This window comes from Homo sapiens, chromosome 11 (assembly GCF_000001405.40).
Source record: "Homo sapiens chromosome 11, GRCh38.p14 Primary Assembly".
In the NCBI taxonomy this organism is placed as follows: Eukaryota; Metazoa; Chordata; class Mammalia; order Primates; family Hominidae; genus Homo; species Homo sapiens.
Genome location: NC_000011.10, coordinates 93,885,333 through 93,910,352, shown reverse-complemented (window position 1 = coordinate 93,910,352; position 25,020 = coordinate 93,885,333). Strand labels below are relative to the sequence as shown.

The window sequence follows — 25,020 nt, the reverse complement described above, 5'->3', positions numbered from 1 at the left end:
GCTGGCCAATCTCTCCTTTGTTGATAACCCAATAAACACCCTTCTTATCCTTTTAAAACTGGTATTCAGTTTAGGAAGAGATCATTTGGGTTGAAGCTTGCAGATGGGCCAGAGGAGGACTGAAATGGGCTGTGTGAATTTTTACAGTAGACCTGCATGGATGTCTTTGGGGCTTCCCTCATTCTTGGAGCACCAAAATATTTGCAACTTTTTTAAAAATTAGAAAAAGCTGCCTTATTTATTCTCGATGCATTTTTCCAGGAAGTTTCCAAAGCAGTCTTCCATTCATTCATTTATGTAATAAATATTTACCGAGTGCCTGTGGGCATTAGACTCTGTGCTAAGCACTGGGCAATAGTGAGCAAGCCAGCTCAGGTCCTTGCCCTTGTGTTGATTACAATCTAAGAGTGCTCAAAATCTCTAATCCTCCGAATCATTGGCCTTGAAGCTCCCCAATGGATTCTCAGTATTCATCTAAAGCATTAGAGTGTGGTGGTACAGGTATGGGATTTAGAGCAAATAAGACCTGAGTTCAAACCCCAGCACTCTCTTCCCAGCTGTGCTACCTTGAAAAAATGTTTTAACCTCTTGAGTTTTAGTTTGTTGTCTGTGAAGTGTGACTGATAATCTCATCTGCTACACGGGGTTGTTGGAAGAACTGAATGAGGTAATATATGCAGAGTATTTCCAATATCTCCTGGCCAGGTGTGGTGGCTCACTCCTGTAATCCCAGCATTTTGGGAGGTCACTTGAGCCCAGGAATTGGAGACCAGCCTGGGCAATATGGCAAAACCCCATCTCTACCAAAAATACAAAAATTAGTCAGGTGTGGTGGCTCATCCTTGTAGTCCCAGCTACTTAGGAGGCTGAAGTGGAAGGATCATCTGAACCTGGGGAGGCTGAGGTTGTAGCGAGCTATGACTGTGCCACTGCACTCCAGCCTGGGCAGCAGAGTGAGACCCTGTCTCAAAAAAAAAAAAAAAGAAGAAGAATTTTGATGCTGCAACTTTCTTCAGAAGAAGCAAGGCCTGATAGGAGACACAGACTTAGGTGTCAGGGAGTCCAGGGTTTGGTCTCCATCCACATCTTCAAAGGTGTCACAAATTTACCACCTCAGTCTTACCAGACATTAAATGGTAATAACACCCACTGCCTCCTTGCTCTGTTGTAAGGATATTTTAATTACTTCTTGCAGAGCACTTTGAAGCTGAAAGTGCTGAGTAAGTATCCCAAAATAAAAATAAAAAAGTGCATCACTTGTTAGAAAAACACCAAACTGGTGCCTGTCCCTTTGTCATTAGAGATGTGGCCCCCACAACACCAGCTTCTTTTCTTTGACCCACACCAAGTGAGATCAGTTTAAATAACACCACGTGTTATTTCATGTGCATTCCTAAGATGCCAGTGGCCACATCCCAAGGAGTATAGCATTAGTCAGGGTGCTCCAGAGAAGCAGAATGAACAGGATGCTATATATGGACAGAAAGATTTGTTTTAAGGAACTGGCTCATGCAGTTGTGGAGGTACAGCGAGCCCACAATCTGATGATATAGGCCAGCAGGCTGGAGACTCTGAGAAGAGTTGTGGTTCAAGTCCAAAGGCAGTTCACTGGCAGAATTCCCTCTTCTTCTGGGGACATGCCTTTTTCTCTGAAGGCCTTCCACTGATTGCATGAGGCCTACCCACATCATGCAAGGTAATCTGCATTATGCAATCTACTGATTCAAATGGTAGTCTCATCTCAACAACAACAAGAAAAAAGACCTTCATTGAAACATCTAAAATAATGTTTGACCAAAGATCTAGGTATCATGGCCTCGCTAGACCATAAGATCAACCATCACAACTGCATGTTCTCAGACGTGTTGCCAGAACCTGCCTTGGAGGGTCACCATCTTTGCTGCTAGGTCCACCTCTGGGGCCCTGGGTTGCTTGCTCCCACTAGCCATCCACATTGGTGCCTCATGCCTTCGGGAGTTTCTTGCCCTATGTTATCGCCTACCCACAGCCTGCCTGTGCGTGGAGAAGAGCCTGCTCTGGCCCAGCCTCCTGATCTTCTCCCTCCCCAGAGAAGATAGGATGAGTGGAAGACCAGACCAGCTTCCTCCATTTGTTCCCCAAAAACAGTTGGTCTCAAAATGTAGTCCCCAGTCCATCAGCAATCACTTCACCTGGGAACTTGTTAGAAAGGCAAATTCAGGGGCCTCTCCTCAGCCCTACTGAGTCAGACACACTGGAGTTGGACCTCACAATCTGGTTTTAATAAGCCCTCCAAGAGACTCTGATACACACTCGAGTTTGAGGACCACTGGCTTAAGAGAAGTACAAAAAATGCTGCCTGAAAGCAACTTCTAGGAAACTAGTTTTCTTTCTTTCTTTCTTTCTTTTTTTTTCAGAGTCTCATTCTGTCACCCTGTCTGGAGTGCAATGGCACAATCTTGGCTCACTAACCTCCGCCTCCTGGGTTCCAGCAAGTACTTCCGGCTAATTTTTTGTATTTTTTAGTAGAGATGAGGTTTCACCATGTTGGCCAGGCTCATCTCGAATTCCTGACCTCAGGTGATTCGCCCGTCTTGGCCTCCCAAAGTGCTGGGATTACAGGCGTGAGCAACCGCGCCCAGCAGGAACCTAGTTTTATTATCTCCTTTCTCTATCTTTCTTTTCTCCTTTCTGTATCCTTTCTCTGTCTTTCTCCTTTCTACTATCTTGACACTATCTAGTGAACACCTTCCCTTTGCGAGATTTCAGGACTGGCTTCTCAGCACACAAGAGTTTCCTAAAGTGTGAATCGCACTATGGACTAGGCTCTTTTCTAAAGTGCTTTAATTACATTCAATTGATTTCATTTAAAATGATGTTTTTTCTAAGTTTGTGTGTTTATCCTTCTGAAGGGCATATGGCTTAAAACTACACTAAGACATTGGAACATCCCTATCAGTTCCTTTAATCCTCACAAAAATCCCATAAGCCAAGTACTAATACTATTGTCTTTATTTCACAGATCAGGAAACTGACATGCAAAGAAGTTAAGTCATTTGCCAAGGAATCTGATTCCAGAATAACATCTCTAACCATGATACTCTCTTGCATGGGACCCCTCTCTTCACTTCTGAGGTGTGTGTACCTTAGCCTTGAAGGCTGGTTAGACCTTACAGTGGACAAGATAGCCTCCATCCAATGTCACCCACATCTAACCTCGGGCCTCCACTAGCTTGTGGCTTGCTGGGTGTACCTGCTTCTAGAGCATTTCCCAAAGGGTCTGTGAATTCCCTCCAAGGTGTGTTGCCTGCATCAGTAAATCATGTAATTTGTTCAAACTCTTTCAGCAGCTCCTGCCTACAGTGACCAAGGTGGTCAAGGGGAGTGTGGAATTGCTAAAAAGAGTTTGCAACGTGGCCCACTTACCAACTCTGTAGGACCTGGGAGAATAGCTAAATACAAAAGCTCAAGCTCACATGTTTAGCAGTATTTAGTACAAGCAGAAGTTTATGTACTCAGAACTTTAAAAGGTACAAAAAACCCTTCATTACAAGCAATGCCAAGGACTGTTTCATTAAGCAAACATTCTGATTAATAGAAAGCTGCCATATGTTCTATACATGCCTTGTTAATTTAGACAGATTCCAGAATCATAAATCATACATTTTGGAGAGTTGAAAGAGATGTTAGGATTTAAGTCAACATACCTTCTCAGTGTCTATATCCCGCAGTCACCATCCCTGCCTTGTTTATCTGACATTACTTCATGGGAATCCATCCCCAAGGCTGTCCATTCCACATCGGGCAGCCCAGAGAGTTAAAAATGTCTTCCTTCCAATGAGCCAAGATCTTTCTCTCTGCAGCCTCCTACTTTGACCCCTGGGTCTAATCCATCTTCCAGTTACCTTCAAATACTTAAAGACAGTGTTCCTGTCTTCCCCAAGTCTTCCCATGAGCTCTCAGCTCTGTGATTCCTTTCACCAGTTGAGCATCAGCTCCAACTCTCTCCAGTTTTGTCTATATCCCTCTCAAAGTATGGTATCCAGAACTGACCTCCATACTCCAAGGGATGTTCTGATCAAGAAAAAGAACAAAGCAATCCTCCCAATAATGAATTGGGATACAGATGTATCTGATGCCACCTGATATGTCTTTGTGGATACAGATGTGAAGTCCATTTCTGAGTGCACGCATATAAATAAACTCCAGATATTTACACAACACATTGCTGATTCCCACCATTCCTGAGCTCTTTTATGCTTTCTTCTTTCTTTCTTTTCTATTTTTTTGGAGATGAGGTCTTGCTCCAGCCCAGCCTGGAGTGCAGTAGCATGATCATAGCTCACTGCAGCCTCAAACTGCTGGGCTCAAGTGATCCTCCCCGCTCAGCCTCCCGAGTAGCTGGGACTATGAGCATGCACCACTACCTCCTGGCTAATTTTTATGCCTTCCATTTCTATTAGTGTCATGAACACTGAACAGTGGTTGGAAAATTCTGGAATCAGAGGGTTGGAGGGCCACCGCAGGAGCTGCCCCAGGTCTTCCCAACTTGAGTACTGGATTACTGGGTTGGGAGGTACATCTGCCCCACTTCACAATATATAGTCATGCCCTTGGACGGATGAGGCAGCAACAGGACGCATCCTCCCTGGGAAGCCTGTCTTGTGGTCAGGCAAGCTGGACATTTTCCAGCAGCTTTATAAAAGTGGATACAGCTTTCTTCAGGCCCTCTGTGGGGAAAGGGAGGGAAAATGTGTAGAGGACCTATTACATGCCAGGCATGATGGAATTTTACACATTCTCTCTTTTTATAAGGGACATGTGTTGTCCTCAGGGAGTACAGAGTGGTTGTGTAACCTGCCCAAGGCCACATAGATAAGAAGCAGGTGGGAATGAGCCTCCAGGAGGGCAGCCCAGGCTGACACGTCCCTCTGGCAGGCTCCACCTGGGAAGCCATGTGGGTCATCACTCATAATCAAAGCCTGCACTAAACACTGCACTCTGTGAGATGAGCTGGAGGGGTCTGAATGGGAACCACAAATCAGGTCCCTTTTCAGGAGCAGGGATCTGGGCTCTCAGGAACCTCAGGACCCAGTTGGGTCTTAGCTTTGCCCCAAAATGAGTCACTTTGGTTCTACCTTGGGAAATCAGTCCCGCACTGATACACAGATGTCTGGGTTTTCTCTGTGGTCTGGGAAAAGCAAGAGCTGGTGCTGGGGATAGTCAGTACATATTAATTAATGATGATGAACACTGTTCTCCCCTCCCTTCAAAACTGGTGAAATGCTTCGAATTAAACAGATTATTCATAATATATAAAAACTGCCACTTTTCAAGTCAGATCATTTTGGAAGAATGTCAAAAGAGAGGGGTAAGACAGAGATTAAAATCACTTTCAGGATGGCTGTACATTTTCAGGGCTTTAAAGGTTTACTGTGTGGCCAGCCTGGAGGCTGTAATGTCTCTTGTGTGATTGAGGAGCTGAGAGGTGATTAAAGGACTTAAGCCAAAAGGGCTGCCTCCCAGTGTGTTCGAAGAAGAAAAATACCATTAATCATAATAATGATGTGTGTTTATAGAAGGCCTTTCATCTGTGCCTCTCAAAGTGCTTTAACCACCATTAATTATACCTCCCAGTGCACCTCTGAGGTAGATAAAAATTATTATACCCATTTTACAAGTGAATAAAGGCCTACAGGGCGAGTAGGAGTGAATTATTTGGGGTCACACATAAACCAGTGGCAAAGGAAGCAATTCCTGTCCCGGGTCAGGACTGAGATTACCCTATTCTTGGGTGCCCTCCTCTCTGAAGGATCGGGCTTTGAGAGAGAACCAAAGATGCTTTTGTGATGCCACCTCTAAGGGCTAATGGAATTGATCACTCTTAGCCCAGGCTCTTAAAAACAGAAAGTGGCCTGTTGAGAGAGAGCATGAAGGCAGGATCTTCTCATTAATTGGGGCATTGCCCCTTAGGATTCATGTGGCCAGTGATCAACAGGACGTTTCGGACCCGTCTGCCCCAGCTGCCTGGGACGTATGACCCAGCTGCCTGGGTCTCTCCAAGGTGTTCATTTCAGGAGAGTCACTGACATGGTTCCCAAAGTCAGTCTGAGCAAACAGATTACCTGCACAGCAGCTCCTCCCTGTGATGAGCATGCACATCTCTCTGTGGCTCCCCCTTTGCTCTTGCCTTTTGTTCCTGTCACTCACACCACAGGAGCACCTAGCAGAGGCACTAAGCTTGTCTTGGAAGCTTCGGGAGAAGAGCATGAGTAGGTCAGGCTCTTCATGGGGAAAGAAAACATTGTATCTGAGGTAACAATAGGCAAAGGTCCAGCTTTCCAGAGGTGAGAGACAGCCTGGGTGGGAGGAACTCCACCGAGTCCTTTACAGTTGACACCAGTATGCATGAGGAGGAGTGAGTGGCAAGAGCCAAGATAAGGAATTTTATACAGGGGCATCGGTGGAGAGTGGTGAGCTGTGGAAATACGCAATTAAGTCTGTATTTTCAGAATAGGAAGCCCAGGAGGAGGTGCAGGTGCAGGGTGCAGCAGAGATGCTGATTCAGTTGGCACTGTTCACTTTGAGGTGCCTGCAGAGCACCCAGGTGTAGATGTGAAGATGTCCGCTGGACTTTGGGTACTGGAGCCCAGAAGTCAGAATCTGGAATACAGATGGAAATTTATAGCTGGGCGTGGTGGCGTGCACCTGTAGTCCCAGCTACTCAGCTGGACAGGAGAATCGCTTGAACCCAGGAGACAGAGGTTGCAGTGAGCTGAGATTGCCCCACTGCACTCCAGCCTGGGCAACAGAACAAGACTCTCTCTCTCTCTTATATTTATATAATATAAATATGTTCATATATATGTTTATATTATATAAAGTATAAATATATATTTATATTACATACAAATATTATATAAATATACATTAGCCCAAAGCAGAGAATTGTAATATATATTATAAAATGTATAATACTGTATATGTATATATAATAAATATATAAAATAAAAATATATTCTATATAAATATATATATAATAAATAAATAAATATATTTATTTTTGGTATGTATGTTGGACCATTTTCCTCTTCTGCTGGGAACCCTCCAAAGGCTTCCATTTCACTAGGAGTGAAAACCAGAGCCCCACTCGCCTCTAAGCCTGGCCCCTGCATTCTGACCTTCCCTCCCGCTCTTCCCCATATCAGCCTTTTTGCCAGTCTTACTCATGCAAGCTCTGCTCCCGCCTCAGGGCGTTCATCCTTCTGTTTCCTCTGCCTGCAAGTTCTTGCCCCAATAGACATTGGTTGCTCCCTGGCCTCTCCATGCCTATGCTCAGGCATCTCGCCTGGCACATGACCACCTATTTAAAACTTCAGCTTCCTCCTGCCTTTTCATGTACCCCAATCCCTTTGCCAGCCATGTTCTTCTCTCTCACCATGGTACTTCATGTATTTAGTCCCACATACCATTTCCTCATGTATTTTGTTTGCTGTCTTCCTCTACTCTCTACTGTCTCCTGAGCCACTCTCTGTCTCTCTCTATAGCTCTAGAATATAAGCTAGACATGAAGGCAGGGATTTTTACCAATCTTATTCACTGGTAAACAGTGAAAAATAGAACAGTGCCTAGTACACATAAGGTACTCAATAAATACTTGTCAAAAAAATCACTTAACTAAAATTGATCCAACAAAAAAAAGTACAAAGATTATTATTGGAAAAACTGGGAAATTCTAAACATGGATTATAGATTAGATAATACTACTGTTATTACACACACGCCAGTATTAAATGTCTTGAATGTGATGTAGATTATGCAGAATATCCCTGTCTGGGGGAGATACCAGCTATAGTACTTAAAGGGAAAGTGCCATGATATTTACAACTTGCATTCCAATGTTTTAGCAACAAATAAAAATATTTGGGAGTGGATAACACAAAATAATTGATGAATCCAGTGGAAGGGCATATAAATGTCCATTAAACTATTTTTTCAAATTATCTTTAATTTGAAATTCTTTTCTTCAATTGTGGTAAAACACATATAACATAAAACTATGCTTATCATTTCAGCCAGTTTTAAGTGTAAAGCCCTTACAGTTCAGTAGTGCTAAGTACATTCACCCTGCTGTGCCATCTCCAGACCTCTTTTCATCTGGCAAAACTGAAACTCTGTACCCATTAAATAACAACTCATTCCTTCATCTCCACAGCCCCTGGCAGCTGCCATTCTACTTTCTGCCTCTATGAATTTGACTACTCTAGGTATTTCACATAAGTGGAATCATACAGTATTTGTCTTTTTGTTTCTAGCCTAGTTCACTTAGCAAAATGCCCTCAAGTTTTATCCATGTTGTAGCATGTGTCACATTTCCTTCCTTTTTAAGGCTGAATAATACATTGTTGTCTTTCAATGCTTATTAATTCCATTGTGTGCGCATGTGTGTGTGCAAATGTGTGTGTGCTTCTGTGTGTATTTACATATATTTATATATACATACCACATTTTTGTTTATCCGTTCAATCATTGATGAACACTTGGATTGCTTCCACCCTTTGGCTATTGTGAATAATACTGCAATGAACAAAGATATACAAATATATCTTCAAGACCCTGCTTTCAATTTTTGGGGGGTGGTATATGTCCAGTGTGGAATTGTTGGATTATACAGTGGTTCTATTTTTAACTTTTTTTCTTTTTTTATTATACTTTAAGTCCTGGAATACATGTGCAGAATGTACAGGTTTGTTACATAGGTATACACATGACATGGTGGTTTGCTGCACCCGTCAACCCATCATCTACATTAGATCTTTCTCCTAATGTTATCCGTCCCCTAGCCCCCCATCCCCTGGCAGGCCCCAGTGTGTAATGTTCCCCTCCCTGTGTCCATGTGTCCTCATTGTTCAGCTCCCACCTATGAGTGAGAACATGCGGTGTTTGGTTTTCTGTTCCTGTGATAATTTCCTGAGAATGATGGTTTCCAGCTTCATCCATGTTCCTACAAAGGACATGAACTCATCCTTTTTTATGGCTGCATAGCATTCCATGGTGTATATGTGCCACATTTTCTTTATCCAGTCTATCATTGATGGGCATTTGGGTTGCTTCCAAGTCTTTGCTATTCTGAACGATGCTGCAATAAACATACGTGTGCATGTGTCTTTACAGTGGAATGATTTATAATAATGTGGGTATATACCCAGTAATGGGATTGCTGGTTTGAATGGTATTTCTGGTTCTAGATCCTTGAGAAATCGCCACACTGTCTTCCACAAAGGTTGAGCTAATTTACACTCCCACCAACGGTGTAAAAGCATTCCTATTTCTCCATATCCTCTCCAGCATCTGTTGTTTCCTGACTTTTTAATGATTGCCATTCTAACTGGCATGAGATGGTATCTCATTGTGGTTTTTATTTGCATTTCTCTGATGACTAGTGATGATGAGCTTTTTCCATATGTTTGTTGGCCATATAAATGTCTTCTTTTGAGAAGTGTCTGTTCATATCCTTTGCCCACTTTTTGATGGGGTTGTTTTTTTCTTGTAAATTTGCTTAAGTTCTTTGTAGATTCTGGATATTAGCCCTTTGTCAGATGGATATATTGCAAAAATTTTCTCCCATTCTGAAGGTTGCCTGTTCACTCTGATGCTAGTTTCTTTTGCTGTGCAGAAGCTCTTTAGTTTAATCAGATCCCATTTGTCTATTTTTGGCTTTTGTTGCCATTGCTTTTGGTGTTTTATTCATGAAGTCTTTGCCCATGCCTATGTCCTGAATGGTATTGCCTAGGTTTTCCTCTAGGGTTTTTATGGTTTTAGGTCTCTTGTTTAAGTCTTTAATCCATCTTGAGTTAATTTTTGTATAAGGTGTTAGGAAGGGGTCCAGTTTCAGTTTTCTGCATATGGCTAGCCAGTTTTCCCAACACTATTTATTAAATAGGGAATCCTTTCCCCATTGCTTGTTTTTGTCAGGTTTGTCAAAGATCAGATAGTTGTAGATGCGTGGTGTTATTTCTGAGGCCTCTGTTCTGTTCCATTGGTCTATATCTCTGTTTTGGTACCAGTACCATGCTGTTTTGGTTACTGTAGCCTTGCAGTATAGTTTGAAGTAAGGTAGCATGATGCCTCCAGCTTTGTTCTTTTTGCTTAGAATTGTCCTTGCTATATGGGCTCTTTTTTGGCTCCATATGAACTTTAAAGTAGTTTTTTTCTAATTCTGTGAAAAAAGTCAATGGTAGCTTGATGGGGATAGCATTGAATCTATAAATTACTTTGGGAAGTATGGCCATTTTCATGATATTGATTCTTCCTATCCATGAGCATGGAATGTTTTACAATTTGTTTGTGTCCTCTCTTATTTCCTTGAGCAGTGGTTTGTAATTCTCTTTGAAGAGGTCCTTCACATCCCTTGTAAGTTGGATTCCCAGGTATTTTATTCTCTATGTAACAATTGTGAATGGGAGTTCACTCATGATTTGGCTCTCTGTTTGTCTATTATTAGTGTATAGGAATGCTTGTGATTTTTGCACATCGATTTTGTATTCTGAGACTTTGCTGAAGTTGCTTATGAGTTTAAGGAGATTTTGGGCTGAGACAGTGGGGTTTTCTAAATACACAATCATGTCATCTGCAAGCAGAGACAATTTGACTTTCTCTGTTCCTATTTGAATACCCTTTATTTCTTTCTCTTGCCTGATTGCCCTGGCCAGAACTTCCAATACAATGTTGAATAGGAGTGGTGAGAGAGGGCATCCTTGTCTTGTGGCGATTTTCAAAGGGAATGCTTCCAGCTTTTGCCCATTCAGTATGATATTGGCTGTGGGTTTGTCATAAATAGCTCTTTTTATTTCCAGATATGTTCCATCGATACCTAGTTTATTGAGAGTTTTTAGCATGAAGGGGTGTTGAATTTTATCGAAGGCCTTTTCTGCATCTATTGAGATAATCATGTGGTTTTTCTCATTAGTTCTGTTTGTGTGATGGATTACGATTATTGATTTGTGTATGCTGAACCAGCCTTGCATCCCAGGGATAAAGCCAACTTGATCATGGGGCATAAGCTTTTTGATGTGCTGCTGGATTCAGTTTGCCAATATTTTATTGAGGATTTCCACATTGATGTTCATCAGGGATATTGGCCTGAAATTTTTGTTGTTGTTGTTGTGTCTCTGCCAGATTTTGGTATCAGGATGATGCTGGCCTCATAAAATGAGTTAGGAAGGAGTCTCTCTTTTTCCATTGTTTGGAATGGTTTCAGAAGGAATGGTACCAGCTCTTGTTTGTAACTCTGGTAGAATTTGACTGTGAATCCATCTGATCCTGGGCTTTTTTTTTTTTTTTTTTTTTGGTTGGTAGGCTATTAATTACTGCCTCAATTTCAGAACTTGTTACTGGTCTATTCAGGGATTTGACTTCTTCCTGGTTTAGTTTTGGGAGGGTATATGTGTCCAGGAATTTATCCATGTCTTCTAGATTTTCTAGTTTATTTGCAGAGAGGTGTTTATAGTATTCTCTGATAAAACAGACTTTAAACCAACAAAGATCAAAAAAGACAAAGAAGGGTAATACATAATGATAAAGGGATCAATGCAACAAGAAGAGCTAACTATCCTAAATATATATGCACCCAATACAGGAACACTCATATTCATGAAGCAAGTTCTTAAAGAACCACAAAGAGACTTACACTCCCACACAATAATAGTGGGAGACTTTAACACCCCACTGTCCATATTAGACAGATCAATGAGACAGAAAATTAACAAGGATATTCAGGACTTGAACTCAGCTCTGGACCAAGCGAACTAATAGACATATACATAAGTCTCCACTCCAAATCAACAGAATATACATTCTTCTCAGTACCACATCGCACTTATTCTAAAATCGACCACATAATTGGAAGTAAAACACTCCTCAGTAAATGCAAAAGAACAGAAATCATAACAAACAGTCTCTCAGACCACAGTGCAATCAAATTAGAACTCAGGATTAAGAAACTCACTCAAAATTGCACAACTACATGGAAACTGAACAACCTGCTCCTGAATGACTACTGGGTAAATAATGAAATTAAGGCACAAATAAATAAGTTATTTGAAACCAATGAGAACAAAGGCACAATGTACCAGAATCCCTGGGACACAGCTAAAGCAGTGTGTAGAGGGAAATGTATAGCACTAAATGCCCATCGGAGAAAGCAGGAAAGATCTAAAATCAACACCTTAACATCACAACTAGAAGAACTAGAGAAGCAAGAGCAAACAAATTCAAAAGCTAGCAGAAGACAAGAAATAACTAAGATCAGAGCAGAACTGAAGGAGATAGAGACAAGAAAACCCCTTCAAATAAATCAATGAATGCAGGAGGTGGTTTTTTGTAAAGATTAACAAAATAGACCGCTAGCAAGACTAATAAAGAAAGAATCAAATAGACACAATAAAAAACTATAAAGGGAATATCACCACTGATCCCAGAGAAATACAAACTACCAGCAGCTGCTATTTGAATCTGATGGTAGGGATAGAAGAGGTGAGAGGAGCTCCATGTCCCTTCCCTGAGACACTATTTCCCTTTTGATATAGGCTGAAACCTTGAGTCAGAAGAGTAAGGGGCTAATGGTGGAATTTCAGATATGAGTGAGTGACAGGTGACTGAAGAGCTATGAAACAGATTTTTTTTTTTTTTCACATGAAGTTTCACTCTTGTCACCCAGACTGAAGTGCAGTGGCATGATCTCAGCTCGCTGCAACTTCCACCTCCCGGGCTCAAGCGATTCTCCTGCCTCGGCCTCCCAGGTAGCTGGGATTACAGGCACCTGCCACTACACCCGGCTAATTTTTCTGTTTTAGTAGGGATGGGGTTTCACCATGTTGGCCAGGCTGGTCTCGAACTCCTGACCTCAAATGATCCACCTGCCTGGCCTCCCAAAGTGCTGGGATTACAGGTGTGAGCCACCACGTCCAGCCAGCAGATTCTTATTCTTCCAGCTCAGGACCTTCATCCAGGCCTCACCTTCCCAGTGTCTGCTCAGAAACTCCTCACACCTCAAGTTCCCTCCGTTTTGACCCACTTAGCTTTCATCTTAACCTGATTTTCATATAATAGAACCTAGGACTTAATAACCCTGGGCATGGACCTGTCCCAGAAACCCACCAGGTCCTGCCTCCTCTTGTTCCCAGAATCCTCTCCATGTCCTTCTGTGGGTACTGCATGTCCACAACCCTGACCCACCCAGGTATGCTCTGATCCCCCCACACAGGCCATGGGGGGCGCTGACACACAGACACAGGGACAGCATAACATGAGAAATCAGAACTGCCAGCCTGTTGGTGAGCCCTCCTGCCACTGTGCCCTGCAAAGCTCTTCTTTAGGGATCAAGCAGGGCCCCTTCCCATCAGGTACAGGTGATTTATCAGAGGGATTGCCTCCCCAGGTGTGTTTAGTCTGAATCCTTACTCTGAGCCTGAGATACTATTAACTGGCTTGTGAGGAAGAATGGCTTTTGAGGAAGAAATATCAGTTATAGGAACTAAGAAGCTGTGTTGGCCGGGCGCGGTGGCTCATGCTTGTAATCCCAGCAACTGGGAGGCTGAGACAGGCAGACCATTTGAGGTCAGCAGTTTGAGACCAGCCTGGCCAAAATGGCAAAACCCCATCTCTACTAAAAATCCAAAAAAAAATTTAGTTGGGCATGGTGATGTGTGCCTATAATCCTAGCTACTCAGGAGGCTGAGGCAAGAGAATCCCTTGAACCCTGGAGGCAGAAGTTGCAGTAAGCCGAGATTGCGCCACTGCACTCCAGCCTAGGTGACAGAGCGGGACTCCATCTCAAAAACAACAACAACAACAAAAGCTGCATTATCTCAGTACAACTTAGCACAGCATGAGAACATTGACCCCACTTCATCCAGTAGGTTGGTTATTCAATTAACAGCTGTCTCTCCTAGTAGACCTTGTTAGTTGTACTCACTGTTGTATTCCCAGAACCTATCACATAGCAGTGATTAATAAATGTTTGAAGAATGGGTGAATAAATGAACAAATAAATGGAAGACCAGACAGGGGTAGGATTCATGTTGACTACAATCTAAGATACCTCTTCCAGGATCACGGGGAGGGAAACAGAGGACAAATGGGAGTATGGAGTGGTCCAAAGGTGCACTTAGAAAGCTGAGGGAGACTCCACAAGGCGCTTTCCACTTGAAACGTGAATTGGGGCTCAGAGAGTAGAGAGTCACCTCCTGAAACAGCGGGGTGGGATGAGCAAAGAGGGAGGAGGGAGGATTGAGAAGTGAAGGTTTAAAACAACTACTGCAGGTAATGGGACTAGATGCCAACTGGACTCATGGAGAAATTGCTGAGCAGCAGGGTGGCTCTGAAGTTTTAACTCTAATGCTGGGGCCGGCAGACACCATCAACCAAGAAAGGGAATGGAGGAGGAGGAAACTTAATTCAGGGAAGAGTTTATGGGGGTCAGGCTTCCAGATAGAGCTAGCTGTCTCAGTTCAACCAGAATTTATCAATTCTTGTATGGAGTACAAAGTAAAATAGGAGAGCTCTGCCCTAGAGGAGCTAGAAAATGCTCCTCAAATCTGAGGGAATCATAAATGCCTAAGTAAAACCACAGAGGATCTCATACTATGGCTCAACTGTGAATGAAAAGAATGCCAAAACCAAAGGTTTTTCTCATCTCCCTCCCCCTTCTCCTTCTTGCTCCTGTTTTAAACCAAAACGCACAGATTTCAGCTCCTTGGCAGGTGAACAGCATTCTTTTTCACCAAGTGTGAACTACACTAGGCAGTCTTGGAGCACCCCCTGTTGAGTCTTCAAGGTATTAAATAGTTAGCTCTTGGAAGATAAGCTTCTAGATTGTATACGTAGCAGAAAAATGCACTCATTCAGCAAACACTTTTTGCCAAAACATTGTAACAGGCACCATGACTATAAATATATGCCCTCAAGTTTCTTCTGGTCTAATAAGAAAAAAAAATATCACTGTTCATTAGGACTGGCACTCATTTCTAAACAGAAAGCCTGTATCGAAAGCAAATTTAGTGGGAACTGAGATCTGTTGACTGAATTATGGTTCCCCTAAAAAGACAAGTGAGTATAGTATCCTGTTAGGTAGAAAATAGAAAAAATCTAGTCCCTGTAGACTGTTTTTCTTCTAGGTCTACTCTCTAGCTCCCCAAATATTAATCTGATCCGGCACTACAAAACACTGCACGAAGCACTACAAAAACCCACACCTTCAAAGGTGCCAGGTGGTGAGGCAAATGTGGGTCAGGTAAAGAGAACAGACTGAAGTCAATAGTTCTGAACTGGAGCTAAATAAAGCCATGCAAACTTGAGCAAGTCTTTTTTTTTTTTTTACTGTAAATCAACAAATTACAGTTGTTTATATTCATGGAGTACAAAGTGATGTTTTGATATATGTATACAGTGTGGAATAATTAAATTAAGCTAATTAATATATCTATGACCTCAAATACTTACCATGTTTTGTGATGAGAACATTTGAAATTCACTCTCATAACAAGTTTGAAATATGGAATACATTATTACTAATGATAGTCACAACACTGTGCCATGGATATCCAAACACTTATTCCTTCTGTCTAACTAAACTTTTGTACTCTTTGACTAACATCTCCCCATTCCCTACCCCCAAGTTGCTGGTAATCCCCATTCTACTCTCTGCTTCTATGTGTTTGATTGTTTTAGATTCCACATATAAGTAAGATCCGCAGTATTTGTCCTTCTGTGCCTTAGTTCACTTAGCATAATGTCCTCCAGGTCCATCCATGTTGTCTCAAATAGCAGAATTTTCTTCTTTTTCAAGGCAGGCACAATAGTATTTCATTGTGTATATATGCCAAATTTTCTTTATGTGTTTATCCATTGACAGAATGAGCAAGCCTTTTTAGCTCCCTGAAACTGTTTCCTCACTAGTAAGATGGAAATTAAAATGTCTATTTTCAAGATAGTTATAAGGATTAAATAAGATACTAATGTAGGAAACTTTGCTTTTTTTCTGCCCATATGATATACAGGAAAGGGAAACACTTTTTAAACTGCTGATCATGCTATTGAAATGAAATATGGAAAAGAAATTTAAAAAATAAAGTGCTGATCAAGTTTTGGTTATTGCTGTTATTAGTCCATAGAAGGGTACCCTCCATCAAGGAAAAACATGCCTCTGTCTTGCTGGTGAGCCATCACTGACCCAGGTAAATGAGAGGAAGGTGAGGTAAATGCAGAGGTTTTATCAAAGAGTCTTTTTCATTTCACGAATAATCAAAGTTACACAGAAAAATTTTATGTATCTGTGGCAAACAGACTCTACCTTTTTAGCATCTTCAAAAAAAATATGAAGTACCTAGGAATAAGTATGACAAAATTGTGCAGATCTTAATGGTGAAAGTTGTAAAACATATTGAGAGATATTAAAGACAGCTTACTTAAATTAAGAGATATACTATGTTCATAAATTGGAAGACTCAGTATTGTAAACATGCCAATTCTCCCAAATCATTTATAAAATCAATGCAATTCGAGTCAAAATGCTAATCAGTTTTTAGTGGCATTTGAAAAGATGATCCCCAAATTTATGTGAAGATGCAAAGGACAAAGAATAGCCAAGATGCACCAGAAGAAGAAGAAAAAGAAGGAGGAGGAAGAAAAAGAAGAAAAATGTAGGACTGGCACTGTCAAATGTCAAGACTTGATATAAAGTTACAATATTTTAAACAGAATGGATTGGTACATAGATCAACAGACCAATACAATAGAGTCCAGAAAGAGAACTTTGCATTATATGAACACTTGATACATAATAGAGGCAGCACTGCAGGGCAATGGGAAAGAACGGTTTTTAAATAAGTGCTGCTGGGACAATTTGCTATCCATATGGGTTAAACAGAAATCAATTCCAGGTATCCAGTACTTAACAGAAAAGGCAAAACTAGGCCAGGCTCAGTGGCTCATGCCTATAATCCCAGCACTTTGGGAGGCCAAGGCAGATGGATCATTTGAGGTCAGGAGTTCGAGACCAGCCCGGACAACATGGTGAAACCTGTCCCTACTAAAAATACAAAAATTAGCTGGGCATAGTGGCATGCACTTGTAGTTTCAGCTACTTGGGAGGCTGAGGCAGGAGAATCATTTGAACCCAGGAGGCACAGGTTGCAGTGAGCCAAGATAGCACCACTGCACTCCAGCATGGGCAGCAAAGCAAGACTCTGTCAAAAAAAAAAAAAAAAAAAATGAATGAAAGAAAAGGAAAGAAAAGAAAAGAACTATAAAGCCTTCAGAAGATAAAATGGGAGAATATTTTCATGAGCTTGGAGAAGATAGTTTTCTTAAACAGTTACCAAATGGCTGGGCGCGGTGGCTCACCCCTGTAATCCTAGCTCTTTGGGAGGCTGAGGTGGATGGATCACAAGTTCAAGAACAGCCTGGGCAAGATGGTGAAACCCCATCTCTATTAAAAATACAAAAAAATTAGCTGGGCATGGTGGTGGCGCCTGTAATCCCAGCTACTTGGGAGGCTGAGGAAGAGAATTGCTTGAACCTGGGAGGTGGAGGTTGCAGTGAGCTGACATCACGCCACTGCACTCTACCCTGAGTGACAGAGCGAGACTATGTCTCAAAACAAACAAAAAAAATTACCAAATGAACTAACTGTTCAAGAAAATATCAATAAATTTTTACTACATTAAAATTAAGAAGTTCTGCTCATCAAGTCTTCACCATTAAGAGAGTGAAAAGGCAAACTTATATTCACAATACTTATAACTGATTAAAAATTCATATCCAAAATATATAAGGAACTTCTTCAAATCAGTAAGAAAAATGGACATACCAATAGAAAAATAGGAAAGATATTAGAACTGAACCAGTACTTTACAAAAAAAAAAAAGGAAGAAAGAAATATAAATGTCCCACAACCTTTCTTGGTTGCAGGGAAATGCTAAATTAGAACCACGATGATATAACAGTATATAAAAACCAAACATTTGGCCAGGCACGGTGGCTTACATCTGTAATCCCAGCACTTTGGGAGGCCAAGGCGGGCAGATCACTTGAGGTCAGGAGTTCAAGACCAGTCTGGCCAACATGGCGAAACCCTCTCTCTACTAAAAATACAAAAATTAGCCAGGCATGTTGAAGTGCACCTGTAATCCCAGCTACTCAGGAGGCTAAAACAGGAGACTCACTTGAACCCGGGAGGCAAAGGTTGCAGTGGTAGTGAGCCGAGATCATGCCACTGTATTCCAGCCTGGGTGACAGAGCAAGACTCCAACTCAAAAAAAAAGCAAACATTTTTAAAGTTGATAATATTAAGTGTTAGTGAGGATATAGAGCAACTGAAACTCTCACACACTGCTGTTGGGAGTATGATTTATGATTTGTACAACTGCTTTGGAAAACTGTTTGGGGTTGTCTACTAAATTTGAATATGCATATATTAAGTGATCTAGAATTTTTATTTCTAAGTATATACCCTACAAAATACAGGTACATGTGTGCTAGAAAACATGTACAAAAATGTTCAGACCTCCAGCCTGAAGTAGCTTTTGTTAGAAAAAAGAATGTTCACAGCAACATTTCTCAGTACTCAAAAAACTGCAGACCACTCAAATTCCCATCAAGAAGGCAGCAAATAAGTAAATTATGGTGTATTCATATACAGCCAGGGTTGAAAAACTTTTCTTATGAAGGGCCAGATAATAGGATATAGGATTTCGGGTCATATGTAGTCTGCCTCATATTTTGGCCTTTTTTAGGGGGCAGCAGTGGAGAGTTGTTTGTTTTAAAATTTTATAATTGTAAAAAACATTCTTAGTTCACAGGCCATACAAAAACAGCCCACTGGCTGGATTTGGCCCATGGGCCATAGTTTAGCCACTCCTGATATAAAGAGAGTCTACCTATATAGCATCAAAAATGAATGAACTATAGCTACTTAAAACCCTATAGAAGAATCTTACAAACGTAATACTGAGCTAAAGAAGCAAGATATAAACATACACAAATACATAAAAAATCACATATGCAAAAACATCATAAGCAAAAATCACAAAAATATAATTCCATTGATATAAAACAAGTGCAGTGAAACTATGGAGCTTAGGAATGCATAAATAGACCTTAAAACCACAAAGAAAAGCAAGAAAATAGTTACCATACAAATCACAATTATGAATACTTCTGGGTCAGGGAAGGGATTGGAATCTGAAGGGGACCTCTGGGGCACTGGAGACATTCTATTTCTTGACCTGGACAATGGCAATATAGGTATTTGTTTCATAATTATGTAACTTATACATTTGTGTTTATTGTTTATCAAATTGTATGTCTATATTTTATGCATTTTTCTGTGTGTGTCATGTTTAAATGTGTCATCAATTGAATTTACAAAGACAGTGGTACAGATGCAGCCTCGTTGTCTGGGATAACACCCAAGGTTCTTTGTCCCACAGCTATGGAGATCAAGGATGTGGACACACAAAGGGTGAGGTTAAAGCAGAAGTTTAATAGGTGAAAGGAAAAGAATAGCTCTCTGCTTCGGAGAAGGGCCCCAAATGGGTTGCTGTACTGCAGTAAAATGTAAGGGTTTTTATAAGTGAGCTAGTAGGGAGAGGGTACTTTATCTCATAGGGCATGAAAAACCAGTTAGGACCAGGTGCGCCATCTGCATGGAGTGAAACCTCTGGCAGCCCCACCCCACTCTTTTATCATGCAGGCTGGTTCTTACCTTGGACTATTCCATGTTGCTTATCTCCTTCCCACCATGCATGTGCTAAAAAGGGGAGGGGGAGTTTCCATGCCTGGTCCTAGGTACCTCCTTGCAGCTGTAGGCATCTGCCCCACCATGCAAGCTTCCAGCTTCCCTATCTTAGTGTGCTCAAAAAGGGAAAGGAATGTGCTCATTAAGGCCCACTGTTTTTACTGGGATCAATCATATGTATGTGAAGTTTGGTGATTACCCTGGAAGCTCTCCCTTTATGCCAGAGTTGTTTATCTATGTTTTACAGCCCGATCTTCCAGGCTGGTCTTTATTAGAAGAGAAGTGATTTCTTTGAACTGCGAGTGGTTAGAAAGGAAGTAATTTCTCAAGCTGCTTTTTGTTAGAAGAAAAGTTTTGCCGGGGACTCTTTTGCCCTATCTACCCAAATAATTTCCTTCTATCTCCTGTATCAGTACAAAAAAAGAGTTAAAAAGAAAACCATAGGGCAGATAACATAATGCTAAAATAACATGAGAGAGGGTCTGAATGAGAGAGGGTGATACCCCAAGAATGGTGGGAGGCTGGTAATGTTCAAATGTAAGGACAGCAAAGGCAGAGGGGCCGTTGAAACTAGGAAGGGAAGCCTGATTAGAAGCAGCAGCATTCAGTGGAAAGAGGGCTGCCCAGTTCTCATCCCTTTGGGGGTTGGGGCTGCAGAGTTGCTCCCACAGGTTCCACTGGGCACAGACACTGGAGGGGCTGGAAGGGCTGTCCACAGAGGAAGAACAGGTCAGGATGGAACACGTACAAAAGGTGGGAGGTAATAATCAGTTTGTAGCTTCTCTGATGCCTCACCCCTCAGGCACCCTTTCACAGGCACAGGAAAGCAGACAAGGGAGCTGTATACACAGGTGAGAGAAGAAGAGATTTTTAAAAAAGTAGATATTGTTGGCAGGGTATGGTGGCTCATGCCTGTAATCCCAGCACTTTGGGAGGCCGAGGCAGGTGGATCACCTGAGGTCAGGAGTTCGAGACCAGCCTGACCAACATGGTGAAACCTCATCTCTACTAAAAAAATACAAAATTAGCCAGGCATGGTGGCGCATGCCTGTAATCCTAGCTACTTGGGAGGCTGAGGCAGGAGAATCACTTTAACCCTGGAGGCAGAGATTTCAGTGAGCTGAGATCATGTCATTTCACTCCAGCCTGGGTGAGACAGAGTGAGACTAGGCTCCGTCTCATTAAAAATATATATATTTATATTCTTGGGCCGGGTATGGTGGCTCATGCCTGTAATCCTAGCATTTTGAGAGGATGAGGAGGGAGGATCAAGTTTGAGCCCAGGAGTTCAAGACCAGCCTGGGCAACATAGCGAGACCCCATCTCTATTGCTTAAAAAAGGGCATTGTTTATATCTCTGTTACAGATCAAGAAATTAAGAATCAGGGAAGTTAAGACATGTGTCCAAGTTCACAGATTATTAATTAGTAAAGATGGAATGGGACCTAGGTTTGTCAGCCAGGGTTCTCCAGAAAAATAGAACAAATTAAATATATGTAGATTAGGTATTGGTATATATATAGAGAGAGAGAGATTTATTGCAGGCATGAAGTAGAAATCTACCTTGATAATTATGGGCAAAGATTTTCCTTTCCCTTAGAACCTCTCCCCTTTCCTGTCCAACTTAAACTTAATTAGTTAGTTTGTCCCTGAATTTGCCTGGAAGCCCAGCTACCCCAACTAATGAGGACCTTTCACTCTTCCTATCTCTGGGAGGAAAAAAAAAAAAAGCCAGATAAAATCCAGTGTGTTTGCCCCACAGGGAAGAAATCCCAGTGTCCCTGAGGCCTGAAGATGCACAATCTCTACCCTGGCACTCCCACCCCACCCCAGAGCAATCGTGACTTGCTGGAAGGGTCTCAGAAACTTTGATGTTATCACTTTGCTTTTCTCTCTCCAAAATTATTGCAAATTACCATGATGCAATGGAAAGAGTGTGAGCTTTGAAGTGCAACAGATCTGGCTTGAATCCTGGCTCTGACCTTTTTTTGATTCTGTATTTCTTTGACTTTAAAATGGGATAATAATTTTCATCTCATGAGGTGGTTGTGATAGTTAGGTGAAATAGTTTTATAAAGCTACTACATTGGTCCTGGTACGTGGTTCCCACCTCCACCAACATCAATCCTTTCCCACAAAACCCTCAGCTGCTCTCTCCACTGGCCATTACCTAGCCTGAGGGTAGTCATATGGCACAGGGGAACAGGAACTGGATTCGGTATCAGGAGCCCTACATTCTTTAGTACTTCATGTACTAACGTACATGGCTTTAGTACTTCAGTTGGGCGTAACACCCAGCCTGTCTGGCCCTCAATTTCTTCATCTGTAAATGCAGATAATGACTGATGATTATTCCAGCCCTACCCATCTCATAGAATGTATAGGAGATTGAAGAACGCTAGCTAATATGATTTGTAAATACCAGCAAAAATAGACTACATAATTAAGTTCATACTAAAGTACCAGTATGTGACAGCAGCCTGGAGTGCTCCTTCCCTGAGGAGTATTTGCATTTTTCTCTGCAGTGAAATGTAATCAGCCATTCACTTAGAAAAACTGTACTGGGGTCGGGCGCGGTGGCTCACGCCTGTAATCCCAGCACTTTGAGAGGCCGAGGCGGGCAGATGACAAGGTCAGGAGATCGAGACCATCTTGGCTAACACAGTGAAACCCCGTCTCTACTAAAAATACAAAAACAAAATCAGCTGGGCGTGGTGGCAGGCATCTGTAGTCCCAGCTACTCGGGAGGCTGAGGTAGAATGGTGTGAACCTGGGAGGCAGAGCTTGCAGTGAGCTGAGATTGTGCCGCTGCACTCCAGCCTGAGCAACAGAGCGAGACTCCGTCTCAAAAAAAAAAAAAAAAAAGAAAAAGAAAAACCATACTGGGCAGCTACCAATCTATGCAAAGAATTTGTTCATAAATAATCCTATTGGATACATAAGATTAACATTTATTCATTCATTCATGCATTTATTCAATAAATCTTCATTGAATCCCTGACATTTGGAAGAAGCTGCAGCATTTATCTCTTTAAGGACATATTTTAGTCTTATTCGTAATTTATTTGATTGTCACCTCCCACTAACTGGATTGTGAGATTTTTGAGGACAGGTGGGATTCAGGCAAGGGTCAGTGTTTGTTACTGACCAAAAGAACATGAAGAACTGACCAATTCTTTTTTGTTTTGTTTTGTTTGAGACAAGGTCTTGCTCTATTGCTCAGGTTGGAATGCAGTGGAGCAAACACAGCTCACTGCAGCCCTGACCTCATAGGCTCAAGCAATCCTCCCTCCAAAGCCTCTCAAGTAGCTGGGACTACAGGCGTGAGGAACCATGCCCAGCTAATTTTTGTATTTTTTCTAGAGACAGGGTTTCATCATGTCGCCCACACTGGTCTTGAACTCCGGGCTCAAGCGATCCGGCCACCTTGACCTCTGAAGGTGCTAGGATTACAGGCATGAGCCACTGCACCCAGCCAATTCTTAAATAACACAACTACCATAAGCCACTTTTCTCTGACCATTAACCACACCCACAGGGGCTGCTTGTCATCCTGGTCAGGCCAGGAGGACCTGGACTGACCATGTTTTGATCAATCACCTCAGAAGAACTCCTCCATGCCCTCCAGATCACTCAGCAGCCTCCAGGCCCCGGCCAGGCATCAAACCTCAGATTGGCCCCAGGAGGCACCATCTCTGTGAGCACAGCCTGGTGTCTGCCCAACCCACATGTTAGCTCTCCAGTCCCTTTGCAGCCCACACAGCTCAGAGACCATTAAGGCTGGCTGGAGTCTCTGATATTAATGAGGAATACTCTCAGCACAACTTGGCTCTACTTCCCCCATCAGGAGCATAGACGGATCGCGCTGGCAAATGCGTTTTGCTCCAGTCCTGAGCCATTCAAAAGCTGCCTAATGGATGGCGGCATAGGAAGGATTTGGCGTCTCTCCCTCTCTTTTGTCTCCTTTCTGTCTTCATCTTCCATCTCTATCCTTCCCCTTCTCTGTCCCTACTTCACTGTCTTTTTTGTATCCCCCCAACACACACCTCTTCTTAACCCTATTTCTTTATCTTTTCCCCTTTTTCTTTCTTTCTCATTGTCCCTCTACTCCTTTATCCTGTGCCCACCTCCTTTCCCTCACTATCTATTTTTTTAATCTTTGTCTAATTCTACTTCTTTTTCTCTTAACATCATTTTGTGCATTTCCCTATCTTTAAAATTCTTTGAAAAGTATCCCTTTTAGTGGATATTATATATCATCATAAAGCTATATCATAATATACCTAACCATCTCCCTATTGTTGGAAAGTATGGTGTTTCTAATTTTTCCCTATTAGAGATGGTAATGCCATAACAGACATAAATGGAAGTGTGTAGAAATGGGTTTTTACATTGAGTTAGTGATTTCAGAGCATGGGCTCTGGAGCCAGACCAGGTAGGTGTGAATCTCAGTTCTGCCACTAACTAATTGTGTAATCTTGGTAAATGATTAAACTGTCATGGCTTCAATTTCCTCATTAGAAATGGGGGAGGTTGCTTTTATTATTATTTTAATTGACATTTAGTAATTGTACATATTTATGAGATACAGTGTGATATTTTCATACATGTATACAAGGTATAATGATCAAATCAGGATAATTAGCATATCCATCACCTCAAACATTCATTATTTCTTTGTACTGGTAACATTTAAAATCTGCTCTTCTTGCTATTTGAAACATACAACAAATTGTTCTTAATTATAGTCACCCTACAGTGCTATAGAAAGCTAGAACTGGCCGGGCGTGGTGGCTCACGCCTGTAATCGCAGCACCTTGGGAGACCGAAGCGGGCAGATCATGAGGTCAGGAGTTCGAGACCAGCCTGACCAACATGGTGAAACCCCGTCTCTGTTAAAAATACAAAAATTAGCCAGGCATGGTGGTGCATGCCTGTAATCCCAGCTACTCAGGAGGCTGAGGCAGGAGAATACTTGAACCCGGGAGGCGGAGGTTGCAGTAAGCCAAGATCGTGCCACTGCACTCCAGCCTGGGTGACAGAGCAAGACTCTGTCTCAACAAAAAAAAAGAAAGAAAGAAAGAAAGCTAGAACTTGTTCCTCATATCTAGCAGTAAAATTTGCATCCAATAACTAACCTCTGGGTACTGCACCCATCCCCCTACCCTTCCCCAGCTCTCATAACCACTATCCTACTCTACTTCTGAGATCCACGTTTTTAGAATCCACATATGAGTGAGAAC

At 41.9% G+C, this 25,020-nt stretch overlaps 1 pseudogene, besides 1 other annotated feature; it reads left to right on the top strand.

Annotated features, from left to right (window-relative positions):
* The window catches only part of LOC101060084 (uncharacterized), a 103,851-nt pseudogene that overhangs the window by 57,494 nt on the left and 21,337 nt on the right, over positions 1-25,020 (top strand).
* Positions 1,871-2,056: a silencer, noted in NCBI's record as "fragment chr11:93641463-93641648 (GRCh37/hg19 assembly coordinates)". NCBI's record gives its function as "represses an EF-1alpha promoter that drives an FKBP-Casp9 reporter gene in an ReSE screen in HepG2 liver carcinoma cells {active_cell/tissue: HepG2}" and the evidence as "EXISTENCE:reporter gene assay evidence [ECO:0000049][PMID:32094911]".